This window comes from Homo sapiens, chromosome 4 (genome assembly GCF_000001405.40).
Source record: "Homo sapiens chromosome 4, GRCh38.p14 Primary Assembly".
In the NCBI taxonomy this organism is placed as follows: Eukaryota; Metazoa; Chordata; class Mammalia; order Primates; family Hominidae; genus Homo; species Homo sapiens.
Genome location: NC_000004.12, coordinates 7,123,855 through 7,140,632, shown reverse-complemented (window position 1 = coordinate 7,140,632; position 16,778 = coordinate 7,123,855). Strand labels below are relative to the sequence as shown.

The following is a 16,778-nucleotide window of genomic DNA, read 5'->3' as shown; positions in this document are numbered from 1 at the left end:
CTCCTCTTGTCTTCCCCATTAGCTTGTGAATGCCTCCAAGGCAAGACACAGCTGGGGCCAGATCCTGTCTTCCTTCCCCACTTACTCGCTGTGTGACCTTAAGCAAGTCACTCAACACCTCTGTGCCTATTTCCTCATTTGGAAAATGAAGTTAATAAAAGCACCTAACTTATATGTGTTAACTATGGAAGATTAAATGAATGCATACAAATAAAATGTTGTTCCCGTCTCTATTCCCAGTGATCAGGGTCTCGGAATTGCTTGCTGAATAAATGGCTGCCTGGACAAAGGACTTTGTCCCTCTGGCCCCCTCACGTGGACTCTCTCTGGTAATAAGGCCGTTGCTGAGCAGCGATGAGAGGCTGAGGAGCATAGACGGGCACCAGGCTGCCTAGGTTCAGATGCCAGCTGCCCCCGCTCTTTGCTGTGTAACGTTGGGGGTACTCCCTCAGCCTCTCTGTTTCTGCTGTGTAAGTGAGGATGGCTGTGCTCCTGCCTCCCTGCAGAACTGTTGGCAGGTGAAGCAGGCAACACTTAAGAGCTGCAGTGTGGGCCCTCATGCAGATTTTAATAAAAATAACTCCCCTTCCCCTCGGTGTCCCCTTCCTCCCTCTAAAGGCTGGTAAAGAAAGGCAGGGAGGAGCGCATTTGGAAGCTGGGAGCACAGGAGAGTGATGGGGCCACGATTGGCACTGTCAGGAGGGATTGATAAATGGAGCAAACCCAGAAAAGGTGCAGCCTGCCCCCAAGTCAGCCATAAAGAAAGCACTGGAGCCTGGGAAGGAGGTGCCACGCACAGAGATGATTGTAGCAACACATGACCCACTGGCCCCTCCCAAGGGCAGCCGGAGGCCCTGCCGAGGCTCACAGCACCACACCAGGCCACCAGATAGCTGAGCAGGAGGGGGGCCCAGGAGATCTGCCCCAGATCAGAGCAGCCCCACCATGTCCCGGGTCATGTATTTGAAGGACTTGGCTACAGGCAGCTCAGTGGGCCTCAGAAGAGCAGGGAGGTGGGGGCAGAACCAGGGACCACCCTGAAGGCAGCAGTCCCAGCCCAGATGGCATCTGAAGGCTACAGGAGGAAAGGGACATGAACCGGGTGGGAGCTGGCTTTGTGCCCACATGCCAGAGGTCCAGGCACTGCAGTTCCAAAGGCACTCGGGTGCCAACTGCACCCCTGCCCACAGCCCAGACACCGCACGGGGACTCACAGCTGCCTTCTGGTCCCACCCTGGGCAGGTTAAGTCGAAACAAGGGTGACTCTGGGAAATACTCATTAACCTACTCAGTAACCAGCACCCACTACATGCCAGGCACTGGCAGGTGCTAGGGACACCGTGGGGAATCAGGCAGACCTGGTCCTGGTCCCTGCTTCATGGAGCCCACAAGATACAGACAGATGCTCCTTCCAACACAGTCCTCCTCGCACTTGCCAAGTGGTCCAATAATAATAGGCACATGCAGTCTATTATATGTGGCACTATGGGGAGGCTGCAGCTCCTACCACAGAGCCCAGGACGGTGCTCAGGAGCGCCAGACCCTGGAGGATGCTCAGCCCTCTCCTGGTGAGCCCTGGAAGCAAGGATGGTGGGGAGGAGACAGTACCCACAGGTCCCCAGCTCCAGAGCTGGGGATGCCATTGGGAAACCAGAGGCTCAGAGGTAGCCCACCTCCAGTGGGTGCCCCCTGAAGCTCGGGGCAAGGCTGAGCCAGGCTGGTAGTGATGAGTACAGACTCACCAGAGAAGACTCTCTGGGCAGAGGGGCCACTCAGCCCCAGCAAGTCCCAGCTTGGCCAGCTCCATGCTCAGGAGCAATGATGGGGAAGGTGATCATGACCCAGCCCTGCCCTCAAGGAGCCTATGCTCCATGAGACACGGAGGACTCGAGAGCACCACCTGCTCCCCAGACCACTGTGGCAGCCAGGCCAAGGCCGAAGATGCTAGCAGGGCCGAGGGTGCTTCCCGGGGAGAGAACTCCTGAGTGAATCCTGGAAGGATGATGCGTCGGTGTCAGGCAAACTAAAAGAAGGGATGTGTGGGCAGAGGGACACAGGGACAGAGCGTTGGCAGAGGGACAGCAGGTGCCAAGGACCGGTGGGAGGGTGTAGGGGCCGGAGTCCTTGCCCCCATCCAGGTGCAAGGAGGTGAATGGTGGGAAGGAGGCCAGGGAGCACTCGCCCTGGGTCAGCAATGAAAGCGAGAGAAGCCCCGCTCGCTGCACCAGGCACCGCCAGGGCGGGCATCCATGTGTGTTAACTCACCTGTGAGGGGGGTGCTCTTATCCCCCCGTACAGATGAGGAAACTGAGGCACAAAGAGGCTAAGAAACTTGTCCAAGGCCACTCAGCTAATAAACTGACGGAGCCAAGCTATGGCCCCACAGCTTGATGGCTTCTTGCCTCTCAGGCAATAGGGAGCCACCGAAGGTTACTGAGTACAGGAGCAGCCTGGGGGCTCTGCGTGGGGCTAGGAGAAGAGATGGGGATGAGGCTGGAGATGGAAACCTGGTCACAACCCCATCCCATGGCAGGAAGGAACAGTGTGGGGACAGCAGAGCCAGGGTGGCGCTGGGTTCTACAGCAAGGGCGGGACGTGCCAGCCCCGAGGCGGTCGGTCTGTGGACCTCCTCTGACAGGTGCATTCCCAAGCTTTCGTCAGGAGATCAAGGCAGCCCGAAGGGGCCATGGACCTCCCGGCTCTACTTCCAGGCCTGGCCAGGGTCGCCCAGCCTCTCGCGGTGCCCACCACCTCCCTGTTCCAGCAGAGCCCACTCTCCAGGTTCCAAGGCCAGGCCTTGGGGCCACTCTGGAATGCAGCGATACTGGGGATGGGACATGAGACACCCTGTCTTTGGAGGTCCCCTTTTACCCTCACTGAGGCAGGGTGGCCCCAGTCATCTCTGGGTTCTACTTCGCCGTCTACCCAAAGGTGAAATACCCAATGAGAGGAGATGTTTCCTCCAACCTTCCGCAGTGTGGGCTGCGGTGGGGGTGGGAAGTCATGAGTATCCTCTGCAGTGGAGCCTGCCGCACCCCCGCGCCACTGGCAGAGACGCAGCCCGGTCGGTGAAAATAACAAAATATGAAATTCATATTCATTTTCTGGTTAGTTGGAATTTGAATTTCAAATCGGGCCCTGCGCTGATACAGATTGACTGTGGACTGACTCCCAGAGCCCATCAATCAACGCCGGAGCCCACCAGGCCCTTTGGCATCCAAGAGGCTTTCTCAGGAGACCCCAGCCCATCAGGATGGGCGAGCCAAGGTTATTCGTGCCAAGACAGGCAGGCTGACCCACCCAAAGCCCCGCCTGCAGACTGGGGGTCTCAGCCCTCCGCAGGTTTCCATACCAGCCTGGGGGAAAGATCTCCATACCAGCCTGGGGGAAAGGTCTCCAGTTGTCTTTCCCGCTAATGTGCTGTCTGCTGTTATTTGTCAGCTTGAGAACTAAGAAGAGACACTCATTCACTCCTTGACAAGGTCACCTTTCCTGTAGCCCCTCCAACACCTAGCATCTGCTAGCTCAAAGTGGTCCCCGCCCCTAACACACCAAAGAGGCCATTAGGTTACAGCAAGACCTGTTCCTATCACCTCCTTGCCCACACTCTTACCTGCAGCTGGTGCTTTACTGGGCCTCAGTTTCCTCATCTGTAAATGGGGTGACACAACCTGCCGTGGGGTCTGCTGCATGCCTGGCAAGTATAGCAGGTGTTCTGTTGCTCAGTAACACTCAGCAAGGACTGATTCAGCGCTGCCTACATGCCAGGCCCTGCCCCAGGCTGGGGAAGCAAGGCAGACCCTACAGTCAACACAACAAACCAAGCCCCCTGCCTGCTCGCGGCAGACGTTCTAGAGCAGCGGGTCTCAACCTGGGCGGGTCTGTCGCCCACGTGACGCTTGGCAATGACTGGAGACATTTTTTTTGTTTGTTTTCATAACCCTGGGGAAAATGGGAGGTGTCACTAGAATCTTACAGGTGGAGGCGGGGTCTTGCTAAACACCCTCCAGCACACAGGGCAGCCCCACTTATTCACAAAGCGTTATCCCACCCAAAATGCAATAGTGCTGAGGTCGAGAAGCCCAGTTCTGAAGGAGAGACAGTAGACGAGATAAATAAGTTAAAATGCCTGAGCTGGGAGTGCTACACAGGAGAGGCAGGGTAGCTCCGAGAGTGAACCACCCCTCTCCAGGTGAGAGACCAGGAAGCTGAGTGCAAGGTAGGAATTTCCAGGGGCACCACGCAAGGGGACAGCAGGGCTCACAAGCAGGAGGGACTGGAACACCAAGCAGAAGAGTTTTGACTTAATTCTCAAAGTCAGAAGCCTTTGACCAAGAGTCCCAGGCTGAAATTTACATTTTAAGGCGTTTGCCTGGACATGTATTCAGGGCCCCTACAGAGGGGCTCGGGCACCTTCTGAGATCCTCAGCAGACTAGACAGTTCGCCACACCGTCTCTTCTAATCTGCACGGTTCTCTGAGGAAAGAATATTCTCTTTTCCCAGACGAGAGGCCTGGGGTGCAGATCAAGGCAGCAACTTGCCCATGGCCCCCAGACAGCCAGGGGCATAGCAGGAATTCAGACAGGTCCCAAACGTGGGCATTTACAATTCATCCTGCTGCCTCCCTACACATTGGGTGGTTCACGCCCCAGGTCTGTTCCTGTCCAAATTATCCCTCTTTCTCCAGGGAAGGGAGAAACTTCTATGCTGATTAGCAAAATGTCTCTGTAACTCTTAAAACCCAGTGACCAGGTCACTGGCCTCAAGACTGTCTCATCTCAGGGCTGCAAGGCTGTTAATTGATATTCCTCTTTGCTATGTTAATTTAAATAAAGCCTTTGCCAGATGACGATGAGCACCTGCCTTTAATAAAGTCATCTGAGAGCACCTGCCTTTAATAAAGTCATCTGAAGAAATCTCAGAGCACCGTGCGGGGAGCAGTGAGGGAGAAATGTCGAGCCTGCGGGGGTCCCGGGGAAACCACTGGGCAGGTCTGCAGCCCCAGCCTGGGAGGTGCATACGAGCTCTGTCTTGTTTTTCCAGCTGCAGGGATGGGAGCCTGTCCAGAAACCACAGAGCCGAGCTCCCGCAAGCCCCTTCTTCAGCCGGGGCAGGTCGCAAAAGGCGAGGCATCAGGAGGCCTCTGTAGAAACCCAGTGACAGAGACAGACAGGCACTTCCTGCTGCCAGCCAGAGCCAAGCATGACTGGGGACAGACGCTGTTCTACCCTCTCAGGGGCGCCTCGGCAAGTGCTGCCCTCACCATGCCCATTGTACACCTAGGAAACTGAGGCCCAGGCACGCTGGGGACTTGTTCAAGCTCACATGGCCAGCAGAGCCTGGACTCAAACCCAGGGCTGTCTGTGTCTCAGTGCAATTCACTTGCCTGCCCCTCACCCTGTGAGCATGCAGTGCAGCGGGGCTGAAGTGCCCAGGCAGGCTTCATGGAGGAGGAGGATGCTTTCAAGCTGATCCCTGGGGCTGAGCAGGGAAAGGTCATTCCTGGAAGGTGGGAGAACGAGCTGAGGCGCAGAGTTGAGGAGCGGGGGTGAAGCTGCAGGGCAAAATAAAGCCACTCTCAAGCCCCAACTTCCTCTCCCCGACTCAGTTCCAAAGAGGCGAGCTGGAGAGAAGCCAAGGAGCCACTGGTACTCGCTTTCTTCTGGGAGGAAAACTCTTAGGCCAAGATTTTAACATTCTTTTCCTCCTTGAAAAACATCTCTGGTTTCAAGCCTGCATTTTTGGCAACCTCATCCCCGCCCTCTGCTCTGAGTGTCTTGGCATTCAGGGGAAATGATGCACTCAGAGGAAGGCGTACCCCGCCCCACAGGGAGAGAGGCCAGGGAGGGAGGATGCAGAGACAGGGCAGGGAGCAAAGGCTTGAAGAAATGGGGGCTGTGAGGAAGTTCCTTTCCAGAGGGTTCCACCAGACACAGGGAAGGGAAGGAATGCTGCTTAAGTGCCTACTGTGTGCAAGCCACACCCAGTACCTCCACACATATCTGCTTGGTGTCCCACACGGAACGCTTCTTGAATCAGATGGTGCTTTGAATCCCAGCTCTGGCTTTCAACTAGTCAGCATTGAAAAGGCACCTACCACATGCAAAGCCTTCCACACCTGTCCACTTAGTGGCCTGCACTGAACATAGCTAGAATCATGGCTTCAAATTCCAGCTCCACCTTTCAGCTAGCCAACATTAATAAAGCACCTACTATGAGCAGGTGCCACCCAGACACTTCCACACCTGCCCTCTTAGTGACCTGCCCTGAACACTACTTGAATCAAGAGTCAGTGCTTCAAATTCCAGCTCCACCTTTCAGCTAGCCAACATTAATAAAGCACCTACTATGTGCGAGCACCACCCGGGCACTTCCATACCTACCCACTTAGAGGCCTGCACTGAACACTGCTTGAGTCAAGAGACAATGCTTCAAATCCCATCTCTGCTGTTCAGCTAGCCAACATTAATAAAGCACCTACTATGAGCAGGTGCCACCCAGACACTTCCACACCTGCCCTCTTAGTGACCTGCCCTGAACACTACTTGAATCAAGAGTCAGTGCTTCAAATCCCAGCTCTGCCATTCAACTAGCCTACATTAATAAAGCACCTACTATGTGTGAGCACCACCTGGACACTTCTGCTCATGTCCACTTGGTGGCCTGCATGCAAAACTTCTTGAATTAGATGATTCTTCAAATTGCCACTCTGCCTTTCAGCTATCCAACACCAATAAGGTGCCTACTATGTGCACAATGCCACTATGTATCCTGAGGCAAAGGAATTAAACTTCCATGACCCATTCCTCCCATCAGGACAATGCGTTTACTTCCTGTATAGGAAGAATCGGGACTAGCAGTAATGAATAAGACGCGTGAGGGAGAGGGGACTGTATTTAACTGAAGGCAGCCCTGATGGAGGAGGTCTTGTGTGGACAGATCCCACCAGCTGTTGATGGGGCAGTAATAGGCAAGCCGGTGGCCTTAGTGGCAGAGGGCATGGATTCAGTTCTTCAAGATCTCTGGGTACCCACTCTTCACTGGCATTGGGACCACACAAGAGACTCAGACGCCAGCCCTAAGAAATCCACAGTCTAGTGGAGGAGACGGTACACACACTGCAGTGACAGACATCCCTCTGCCCCACCAGCTTTGGCTTGGCCTTGCAAAGGATGTGGCCAATGGATTACTCAAGGATGAGATGTGAGCCAAGGCCTTACACACACTTGCACTGTTACATTTGGCTTCTTGTGCTCTGGTGATCTGCCATGAGCCTGGGTCCCAGAATGAGACACATGGTAGAGACCCAAAACCAACCCAAGGCCTGGAGCCAAACCCTGCTGCCCCACAGCCTGAGTCAGACAGGCTGCAGCCACTCTGAAGCCCCAGGAGTGAGAAAAATAAGCCACCTTCTTATTAGGAGCCACCAGATGTTTGAAGTAATTTGTTACACAGCATTATTGCAGCAGTTGCTGACTGATACATGGTGACAACAGGGTATGGTGATTGCTTTGCTGCAGGTGTACCCAGGTGAGCTCAGGGGAAGACCTGGAGGGCAAGAGAAACTTCTGGGAGGAGGTGACATGTGAATTGGACCTTGAAGGATAAGTATGAGAAGAAAGCCAGATGTTCCAGGCTGTTCCAGGCAGACAGCATAACCACAGGAACAGCATAGGGTCAGAGGTGCAGCGGCATGAGCAGGACTGTCCCAGTGAGGAGGTGTTTGCTATGAGGTTGCTACTGGGGAAAACATTCCTGTTTTAGGAATCCCAAAGTTGATTTCCTTCCATCAGCAGGCAGCAAGCACATGTGTTAAAAAGACCTCATGCAATCCCGGCACTTTGGGAGACCAAGGCAGGCAGCTCACTTGAGCTCAGAAGTTCAAGACCAGCCTGGGCAACATGGCAAAAACCCATCTCTACAAAAATACAAAAATTAGCCAGGCACAGTGGTGTGCACCTGTAATCCCAGCTACTTCGGGATCTAAGGCAGGAGAATCACTTGAGCCCAGGAGGCAGAAGTCGCAGTGAGCAGAGATCATGCCACTGCACTCCAGCTTGGGCAATGGGAGTGAAACCCTGTCTCAAAAAACAAAAACACCCCCACAAACCTCAGACAGTAAGGGCTGTGGTTGGTGTTTTTACTTTAATATACTCCAGGTTTTAATTCTTCAGTGTTTACCAGAGCCTCTGCCTCAGAAGCCCCCTAGTCTAGCACTTTAGGTGGCTGCGTGGCGACGTGGCAACTCTCAGAGGGCAGCTCACACTGGCAGGTACTTTCTCCCCTGGTCTGGCTCGTACCATCTCTGCCATCGCGGGCACGAGGACCTGGCCACGGGTCCTCTGTCCCCTGGAGCTGGAGGCTGGACGGACTCCCCCGACCAGCCCCCTCACGTTAACATCCAAAAGCTCCAAACGGGGGCACTGGCCTGAGACGGTCCTAGTTTCCCTCCGCGACCTCGCCCATCTCTACTCCCTGGGGCCACCTGTGACCTGGCACTGCCCAGCCTCCAACCTTCACCCCCTGCACAGGCCCCGGGTCAGAAAGGACACATGCCACACTCAACACACTTACACATATTCACACACTCACGCCACACTCATCACACCACACTCAACACACTTACACACCACACCATGTGCCACATTCACACACACACCACACTCAACATACTTACGCACCACACACCACACTCACACACAAAACACACACCACACAACGCACCACATTCACACCCACACACACCACTCAACATACACACCACACGCCACACTGACACACAAAACACACACCACACCACAACACACCACATTCACACACCCACACCACTCACCACACATTCAACAAACTCACCACACACATCACATACCACATTCACACACACTACACTGAACACACCACATTCAACACACTCACATTCACACACTCACACCACACTCATCACACTCACCACACTCAACACACACACCACATGCCACATTCACACACACACTCAACACACTCACATCCACACTCACAACACACACACCACTCAACACACTCTACATTCTTACACACCACACACCACTGACACAAAACACACAAGACACCACATTCTCACCCACACACACACCACACTCAACACACTCACTATTCACACACTCACATCACACTCATCTCACCACACTCAACACACTTACACACCACATGCCACACTCACACACACCACACTAACCACACTGACTTACACACCCTGACACCACACTCAACACACTCAACATACACACCACACTGACACACAAAACATACACCACACAACACCACATTCACACCCACACTCACACCACACTCAACACACACATTCACACATACCACACACACCACACTCAACATACATACCACACACCTCACTGACACACAAAACACACCACACAACACACCACATTCACACTCACACGCACATCACACTCACCACACTCACACATTCTCACACACCACATTCCACACACCACATTCAACACACACACCACACACACTACACACTCACACTAAACACACCACATTCAAACACCACACTCACACTCGTACCACACTCATCACAATCACCACTCAACACACTTACACACCACATGCCACACTCACACACACTGCACTCAGCACACTCACCACATTCACACCTTCACACCACACACACCACTCAACATCCTTACACACCACACACCACACTGACACACAAAACACACAACACACCACATTCGCACCCACACACACACCACACTCACCACATTCACACCCTCACACCACACACACCACACTCAACATACACACCACACACCACACTGACACACAAAACACACACCACACAACACACCACATTCACACCCACACACACATCCACACCCACACACTCACACACACACACACCACACACCATACTCTCTCACACATACACACTCACACCACACTCGACATACGCACCCACATCACACTGACAGACACACAGATATGTCACACTTGGAAGCCCCAGGCCTTGGGGATGCCAGATGCACGCAAAGGAGTGGGTGTGCCGTGCCTCTCCAGCATGGGGCCGTGCAGGTTGGGGGATTCGACTCTGCGGGGCTTTCTGCTTCCATAGCCAGACACCAAGCTCATCCCGGAGCTGCTCTGCCTTTCTAGGAAAGCGACAGCCCAGCCCCGGAACGCAACCCCTGGTGGCCCCTGGGCTGCTGCGTGCGGGGAGCTGGTGGGGTTTAGCTTTCTCTCTGGAGGGGCTGACTTCTAGACCCGGGCCTGGGCCTGGAAGGAGGTGCGAGCCAGATGCAGGGAAGTGGGCCTGGGCGGGGGCCTTGCATGCCTGCAAAGGTGCAGGCCGGGGCCCCAAAGCAGGAGACACTCCATAAAAATCCCACTCAGTCATGTGCCTGCCAAATTCTCATTCCAAACACCCCCAACACACACTTCAGCAGCTCCACCTCCTGCAGGCCGCAATAGAGCCACTCAGCAGAGACGGACTGCCCGGGGGGCCCACGGCAGCCTGGACGTCACCAGCTTACTGCCCCTGCCCTGCCAGTTGTCCCCTCTCACGCTCACAGCTGCACCTTGCACCGTGTGGAAACAGAGCTCCGTCCTGCCCAAAGTCATTTACTCCACACTGGCGGGGAACGGCCGTTCTGGCGCCCCCAGCCTGCTCTGCCTTCTGTGTGAACCCACACACTTCGCCAAGTTCAGGCCAGGGCTCTCCTTTAAATCCAGGACCCCAACTCACAGGCAGAGGCTGGCAGTTCTGTGTGAAGCCACCTTGAGACTCCTGATTCCAGGGAGGGAGAGGAGAACCCAGGGTGTGAAGCTTACAGCAGCCCCAGTGACACATTTGCAGGAAGCCACCCCAGAACCCGCGGGGCGCAGCAGACAGTGATCACTGATGACGCGAGGGAACCCCAGCGGCTGTCAGGGCAACAGCTGAAAGGTGCAATCTCGCATGAACACATCTCCCCAAAAGTATTTCCTAAAAAATTACCCAAGCAAGGGCTGCGCTGACTCCATGACCCTGCCCCAGCACCGGCTGAGTCTCATGAGAAACTGTTACTGCTTGGTGCACATTTTCAGAGTCACTCACATAACAAATATTTCTCGAAAGCCTGCCATGTCCAGGACCATGCTCCAGGCAGCAGCCGTGCAGAGTGGCGAGGCCCACGGGCCCAGGTCTCACTGGGCTGCCGTGCGAGAGGGAACCGTGACGGTGCGCTGGGGAGGGCACTCCCGGTGGATGTCTCCTCCCAGCAACCGGGGAGGGCCCAGCTCCTGCCTCCACCATGGCCGGCACAGAGTAGGCGCTTCAATAAAGAGACAATTGAATCAATAAAGTTGAATCAATAAAGAAACAGGTGGAAAATAAGATAAGCTTTGTAGAAACAATTTGCTAGATATGAATAAAGTAACTCAGATACAGATCATCAGAAACACAGCGGCAGCCCAGCGGCACTGGCAACCCCAGCCCTGTGCGAGATTCTCTCGTGGGCCTCCTCTCCTTGACAGGGTTGCTGATTTCATAAAAACACAGGATGCCCAGTTAAATCTGAATTTCAGGTAAACAAATAATTTTTTAGTCGAAGTTTATTTCGGCTAAATTTGGGATATACTTATATTTAAGTATTTGGGATATACTTATATTTAAAATATTCATTGTTTGTCTGGAATTCAAATATAACTGGGCATCTTGCGTTTTACCAGGCAACCCTATTTCCTAGCCAAGATCAAGAGGCACTGGGCTGGTGATCGTAGGATGAGGTGAAGGCGGAAACCGTGACCGTGGCTGCCCGCCAGGGAGAGCATGGGCTCTCGCCCACTACCCCTCCCTCCTCTTAGACTCTCTTCCCCCAGGAAGCCCTCAGTTAACGCGCTCTCTCCTCCTCCCTTGGCTCTCACACCTCTCTGAGGAGCCCAGTCCCTACCTGAAGCCCCCAGCACCCGGGCCCCATTCCCCACCCTCCCCTTCCTCCCCGCACCAGTGTGTCTCCTGGCATAGGCAGCGATGAGTTTATTGTTTGCTGTCACTCCCCACCCCCTGACACACACACACACACACACACACACAATACACATCACAAGGGCGGGGCTTCTGGCTGTTTTGTTTACAGCTATATCCCCAGCACCTAAAACAGGGCCAGCACCTCGCCAGAGCTTAAAACCCATTTGGGAGATGGAGACACGTGGGGTGGGTTGGCGGGAAACAAAAATCAGGTTCCTGACCCGCCACAGAAGAGGGGCCGTGACTAGCAGCCTCAGAAAGTGCCATGAACAAAACAGGTGCTGTGGATCTGAAGGTCAGGCTGATGCCTCCTCTTGGCTCCCACAGGCACGTGCACAGCAAAAATGGAAGTCTGGTTCCCTCCCCTGCACAGTCCCCACTTAGATCAGTGAGTGGCACCACAGCCCTCGCTGGTTCTGGAGCAGAACCCTCTGCACCCCCGAGCTCTCCCTCGCCTACCCTGACACGGCATCTCCAAGCCAGGCTTCCTACCCTCTTTCCTCCCTTGCTGCAGGCCCAGGCCCAGGCCTCAGAGCATCAGCTTCCCAAAGACTTGAGGTTTTTGCAGAAGCCAAGGAAAGCCCCCAGCAGCCAGCAGCTCTGCAAAAGTCCCTGCAGGGATGGGCCGCTGGGGCCTAAGCCACCCTCTAGAAGAGTGGGCCAGAGGAAAAAAGGTGACTGATCCCCCCTACACTGACTCCGTCTCTCGGGTTGTCAAGCACTCTCATCGGCGTTATTTTTATTTCAGCCTCACCACGGTGAGCTGAGCAGGACTATTTCCATGTCACACCCTGGCGTGGAGCCACTCACAAACCACAGGCCAGCAGCCCCCGCGTTCGGGCCGCAGGTCCCGGCACCCTCCCCCAGCAGCACATCCACTGGGACACACATTGCGGGCAGGGCCAGCAGGCGACACGGAGGAAGAGAGCAGGAGGGCTGCCCGCTCTGAAAAGTTGGCAGACGACTGCATCTACAATAAAAGACGAAGTTAAAATATTGAACCAAAAAACATGAAAGGTTTTCGTACAGAAATCCCTTTGGATGCTAAACTTTCACGAGGTACTTGAAAAGGCAGCTATTTTGACTTCAATCAGTTTTCAGAGTGGGTTCGCACACAAAGAAGATGAAAAGTGTGTGGGGCTCTGCTGCCCATAATAGACTCTTCGCTCCTGTTCCATTCTTGCCTGGGCTCCGTGGCCCAGCTCTCCTCACCCTGTGGGGAAAGCCATGCCTTTCCTGCCAGCCTGCTTCTCCACCCTTACCCTGGGGCCTGCCCAGTGCCTCCCAACTAAACCACCATCTGCTCGGCTCCTTGACTGGTTCGTGTGAGTCTGGCCACCAACCTGGGTCTGAAAGAGTGTCTCTTAGAATCTGCTGCACAGGCCCAGGAAGGCAGGGCGCAGGTGCGGGGGCTTGCTCTGCTCTGGGATCTGAGTCCTAAGGGCTACAGAGACCCAGCTTGCTGGCAGTCAGCTTCCCCAGCTGCATGGAAGAATTGCAAAATGAAACCAAGGCAGAAAGGATAGCAGACCCAGGAGGTGGAGAGAGAGGCGAGAAAACAGCCCCAGGCCCCCGTTCTGGCAGAGCCCACAGCCAGCCCCGACCCCTGGATGTCCCAATCACCTGAGCGTCTGTCCCTCTCTGCTGGAGCTGGCATGAGCTGCTTTCGGTGACCTGCATTTGCAGCCTCTGCCAAAAATGTCCAAAAACCAGCTGCCTGGGGGACTTACTTGATAATACTTCAGTGCATTGGGCTCCATAGACCTGAATTCTGGCACTCGTTTTATAACTAACTGCCCAGGTGATCTTAGCCAGGGCATTGCATCTTCTTGTGACTCAGTTTCCCCACTATAAAATGGATTAAATAACAGAGGTGAGAGCATATTAAAGTCAAAAGCGCTGTGGAGATGAATGCACTGGTGTCTCCACACCCAGTGGTCTCTCCCTCCAGACCAAGGCTCCTTAGGAACAGGAACCTCGTCCTCCTCACCTCCTTACCCTCAACACCTAACACCAGACCTGGCCCTCAAAGAGTGCTTTAAAAAAATTCTGGATGGATGTAAACCCCAAATGATTGAAAGGTGGTCTCATAGAAACATGTGCACACCCGTGTGCATTGCAGGATTCTTCACAATCGCCGAAAGGTGGCAGCAAGGCCGGCGAGGTGGTTCATGCCTGTAATCCCAGAACTTTGGGAGGCTGAGGCGGGTGGATCACGAGGTCAGGAGTTTGAGACCAGCCTGACCAGCATGGTGAAACCCGTCTCTACTAAAAATACAAAAATTAGCTGGGCATGGTGGCGTGTGCCTGTAATCCCAGCTACTCAGGAGGCTGAGGCAGGAGAATCGCTTGAACCCAGCAGGCAGAGGTTGCAGTGAGCCAAGATTGCGCCACTGCACTCCACTCTGGCGACAGAGGGAGACTCTGTCTCAAAAAGAAAAAAAAGAAACTGAAAATTCTGACGTATGCTACAGCATGGACATCGTGACATTGAGGACGTTACGCTAAGAGAAATAAGCTGTCACCAAAGGACACATGCTCTGTGATCCCACTGACATGAGGCCCCTAGGGCAGTCACACTCACAGAGCAGAAAGAGGAACGCTGAGTGCCGGGGCGGGGAGGGGGATGGGGAGCTGCTGGGTTCTTCAGGCTGTTTGTTTTGAGACGGAGTCTGGCTCCGTCGCCCAGACCGGACTGCAGTGGCTCGATCTCGGCTCCCTGCAACCTCCGCCTCCCGGGTTCAGGTGATTCCCCTGCCTCAGCCTCCTGAGTAGCTGGAATTACAGGCGCCCCCCACCACACCCGGCTAATTTTTGTATTTTTCGTAGAGACGGGGTTTCACCATGTTGGCCAGGCTGGTCTCAAACTCCTGACCTGAGGTGATCCACCTGCCTCAGCCTCCCAAAGTGCTGGGATTACAGGCGTGAGCCATGGCGCCGGGCCTAGGGAGTTGTTATTTAATAGGGACATATTTCAGTTTGGGAAGATGGAGAGAATTCTAGAGACAAATGGTGCTGATCACTGCATAACATCGTGAATGTATTTAATTTCACTGAACTATATGCTTACAAATGGTTAAGATGGTAAATTTTATGTTAGGTGTTTACCACAATTTAAAACAAAAACCTGGAAAGCATAGACTTGAAATATATGGCATGGGTAACGTTAGGCGACTTCAGCAAACAAAACTGGGAAGCCCAACACGCCCGGCTTATTTGCCGTGGAAACTGCTCTTGGAATCATGACAGGAATCCTTTGACCTTTGCAAAACACTAGTCATGACTCAAGTCGGCTCAGCAAAATATCTCCCTCACTTTGAAACCACAGCTGTGGACCCAGCAGCACTGCCTGAGTACTCACCCTCACCAAGCCAGGCGATGAGATCGCTCAACCTTCACGAAGGCAGTGAGGTGGCGCCGTTCTCCTCTCTACCATAAGTGTGACACCAGCAAGGTTGCAATTGCTCCCGTGACTTGCCAAGAACGCACAGCTAGTGAGTGGAGGCAGGCCAGGGCTGGCCCAGCCACCCCAGCTGAGCCTCCTTGCCTTTTAGCTGTTTCTGCGTTTGCAGAAGTTACAGTGTTAGCAGCAGCAGTCTTTGAGGTTCAGAGTGAGTCTTTCCACGTTGTACTTTATCAACTTATATGTGGTCCTGAGGTAGGAGACGGGACTGGACTCCAGAGACCGGGCTTGGGCACAAGACCAGATTGAGGACTAGCTAAAATAGGGCTGGGCCAAAGCAGCTTTCAATCAGGCATGCCCACCAGTAGGCCATATCGATTTACCATTGCCATGGCAACACCCGGGCGTTACCGCTCTTTTTCATAGCAATGGCCCAACAATTACTACCCCTTCCCTAGAAATTTCTGCATGAACTGCTCCTTAATCAGTATGCAATTAAAAGTGGGTATAGGCCGGGCGTGGTGGCTCACGCCTGTAATACCAACACTTTGGGAGGTCAGGAGTTCAAGATCAGCCTGGCCAAGATGGTGAAACCCCATCTGTACTAAAAATACAAAAATTAGCCGGGCGTGGTGGCGGGCACCTGTAATTCCAGCTACTCAGGAGGCTGAGGCAGGAGGATCGCTTGAAACCGGGAGGCGGAGGTTGCAGTGAGCCGAGATCGCGCCACTGCACTCCAGCCTGGGCGACACCAGGCTGGAAAAAAAATAAAGTGGGTATAAATATGGCTGCTACTCTCTGCCCACGGGGTAGCCCTGCTCTGCGGGAGCAGACACGGAGCTGTAACACTGCCACTTCAATAAAGCTGTTTTCTACTACCTCTGCCTTGTGCTTGAAGTAGTTCCTGAGCAAAGCCAGGAACCCTTGCAGGCCAAGCTCCACTTTGGGGCTCGCCTGCCCTGCGTTGGTTCCAGTTTTTTCAATGCATGTGTTTTAGTTTTGCACTCTGAAAAAAAACGTTTCAACAGGAACATTCATTTACACAAGGAGGTAGGATTCAACAAGGCAACAATCAGTACAGGTTTTTGTTATTTACAAAGATCTTAGACAGCAGCTGTCTTATTTGGTCTTCAAAACAACCTGGCAGGTACATATTGGCCCATTTTGGAGATGGGGATGGAGTACGGATGAGATTTACTTCACTGTCCAACCAAAAAGTAATAAATTTGGCACAAACCCGGGGCTCCCACCTTCCAGATTCAGCAGAGCCCAGAGCTCAGCAGCTGCACCTCCTAATTATGTGAGCCAGGAACTCTTCCTCCCACCTGGCGGCCTCTCCACCTCCAGGCTCCTTTCACACCCGGGTC

At 53.8% G+C, this 16,778-nt stretch overlaps 3 annotated features.

Annotated features, from left to right (window-relative positions):
• Positions 351-1,005: an enhancer, noted in NCBI's record as "H3K27ac-H3K4me1 hESC enhancer chr4:7141355-7142009 (GRCh37/hg19 assembly coordinates)". NCBI's record gives its function as "activates a minimal SCP1, AML or CMV promoter by ChIP-STARR-seq in primed H9 embryonic stem cells {active_cell/tissue: H9 hESC(primed)}" and the evidence as "EXISTENCE:reporter gene assay evidence [ECO:0000049][PMID:30033119]".
• Positions 1,006-1,661: an enhancer, noted in NCBI's record as "H3K27ac-H3K4me1 hESC enhancer chr4:7140699-7141354 (GRCh37/hg19 assembly coordinates)". NCBI's record gives its function as "activates a minimal SCP1, AML or CMV promoter by ChIP-STARR-seq in primed H9 embryonic stem cells {active_cell/tissue: H9 hESC(primed)}" and the evidence as "EXISTENCE:reporter gene assay evidence [ECO:0000049][PMID:30033119]".
• Positions 4,693-5,295: an enhancer, noted in NCBI's record as "H3K4me1 hESC enhancer chr4:7137065-7137667 (GRCh37/hg19 assembly coordinates)". NCBI's record gives its function as "activates a minimal SCP1, AML or CMV promoter by ChIP-STARR-seq in naive H9 embryonic stem cells {active_cell/tissue: H9 hESC(naive)}" and the evidence as "EXISTENCE:reporter gene assay evidence [ECO:0000049][PMID:30033119]".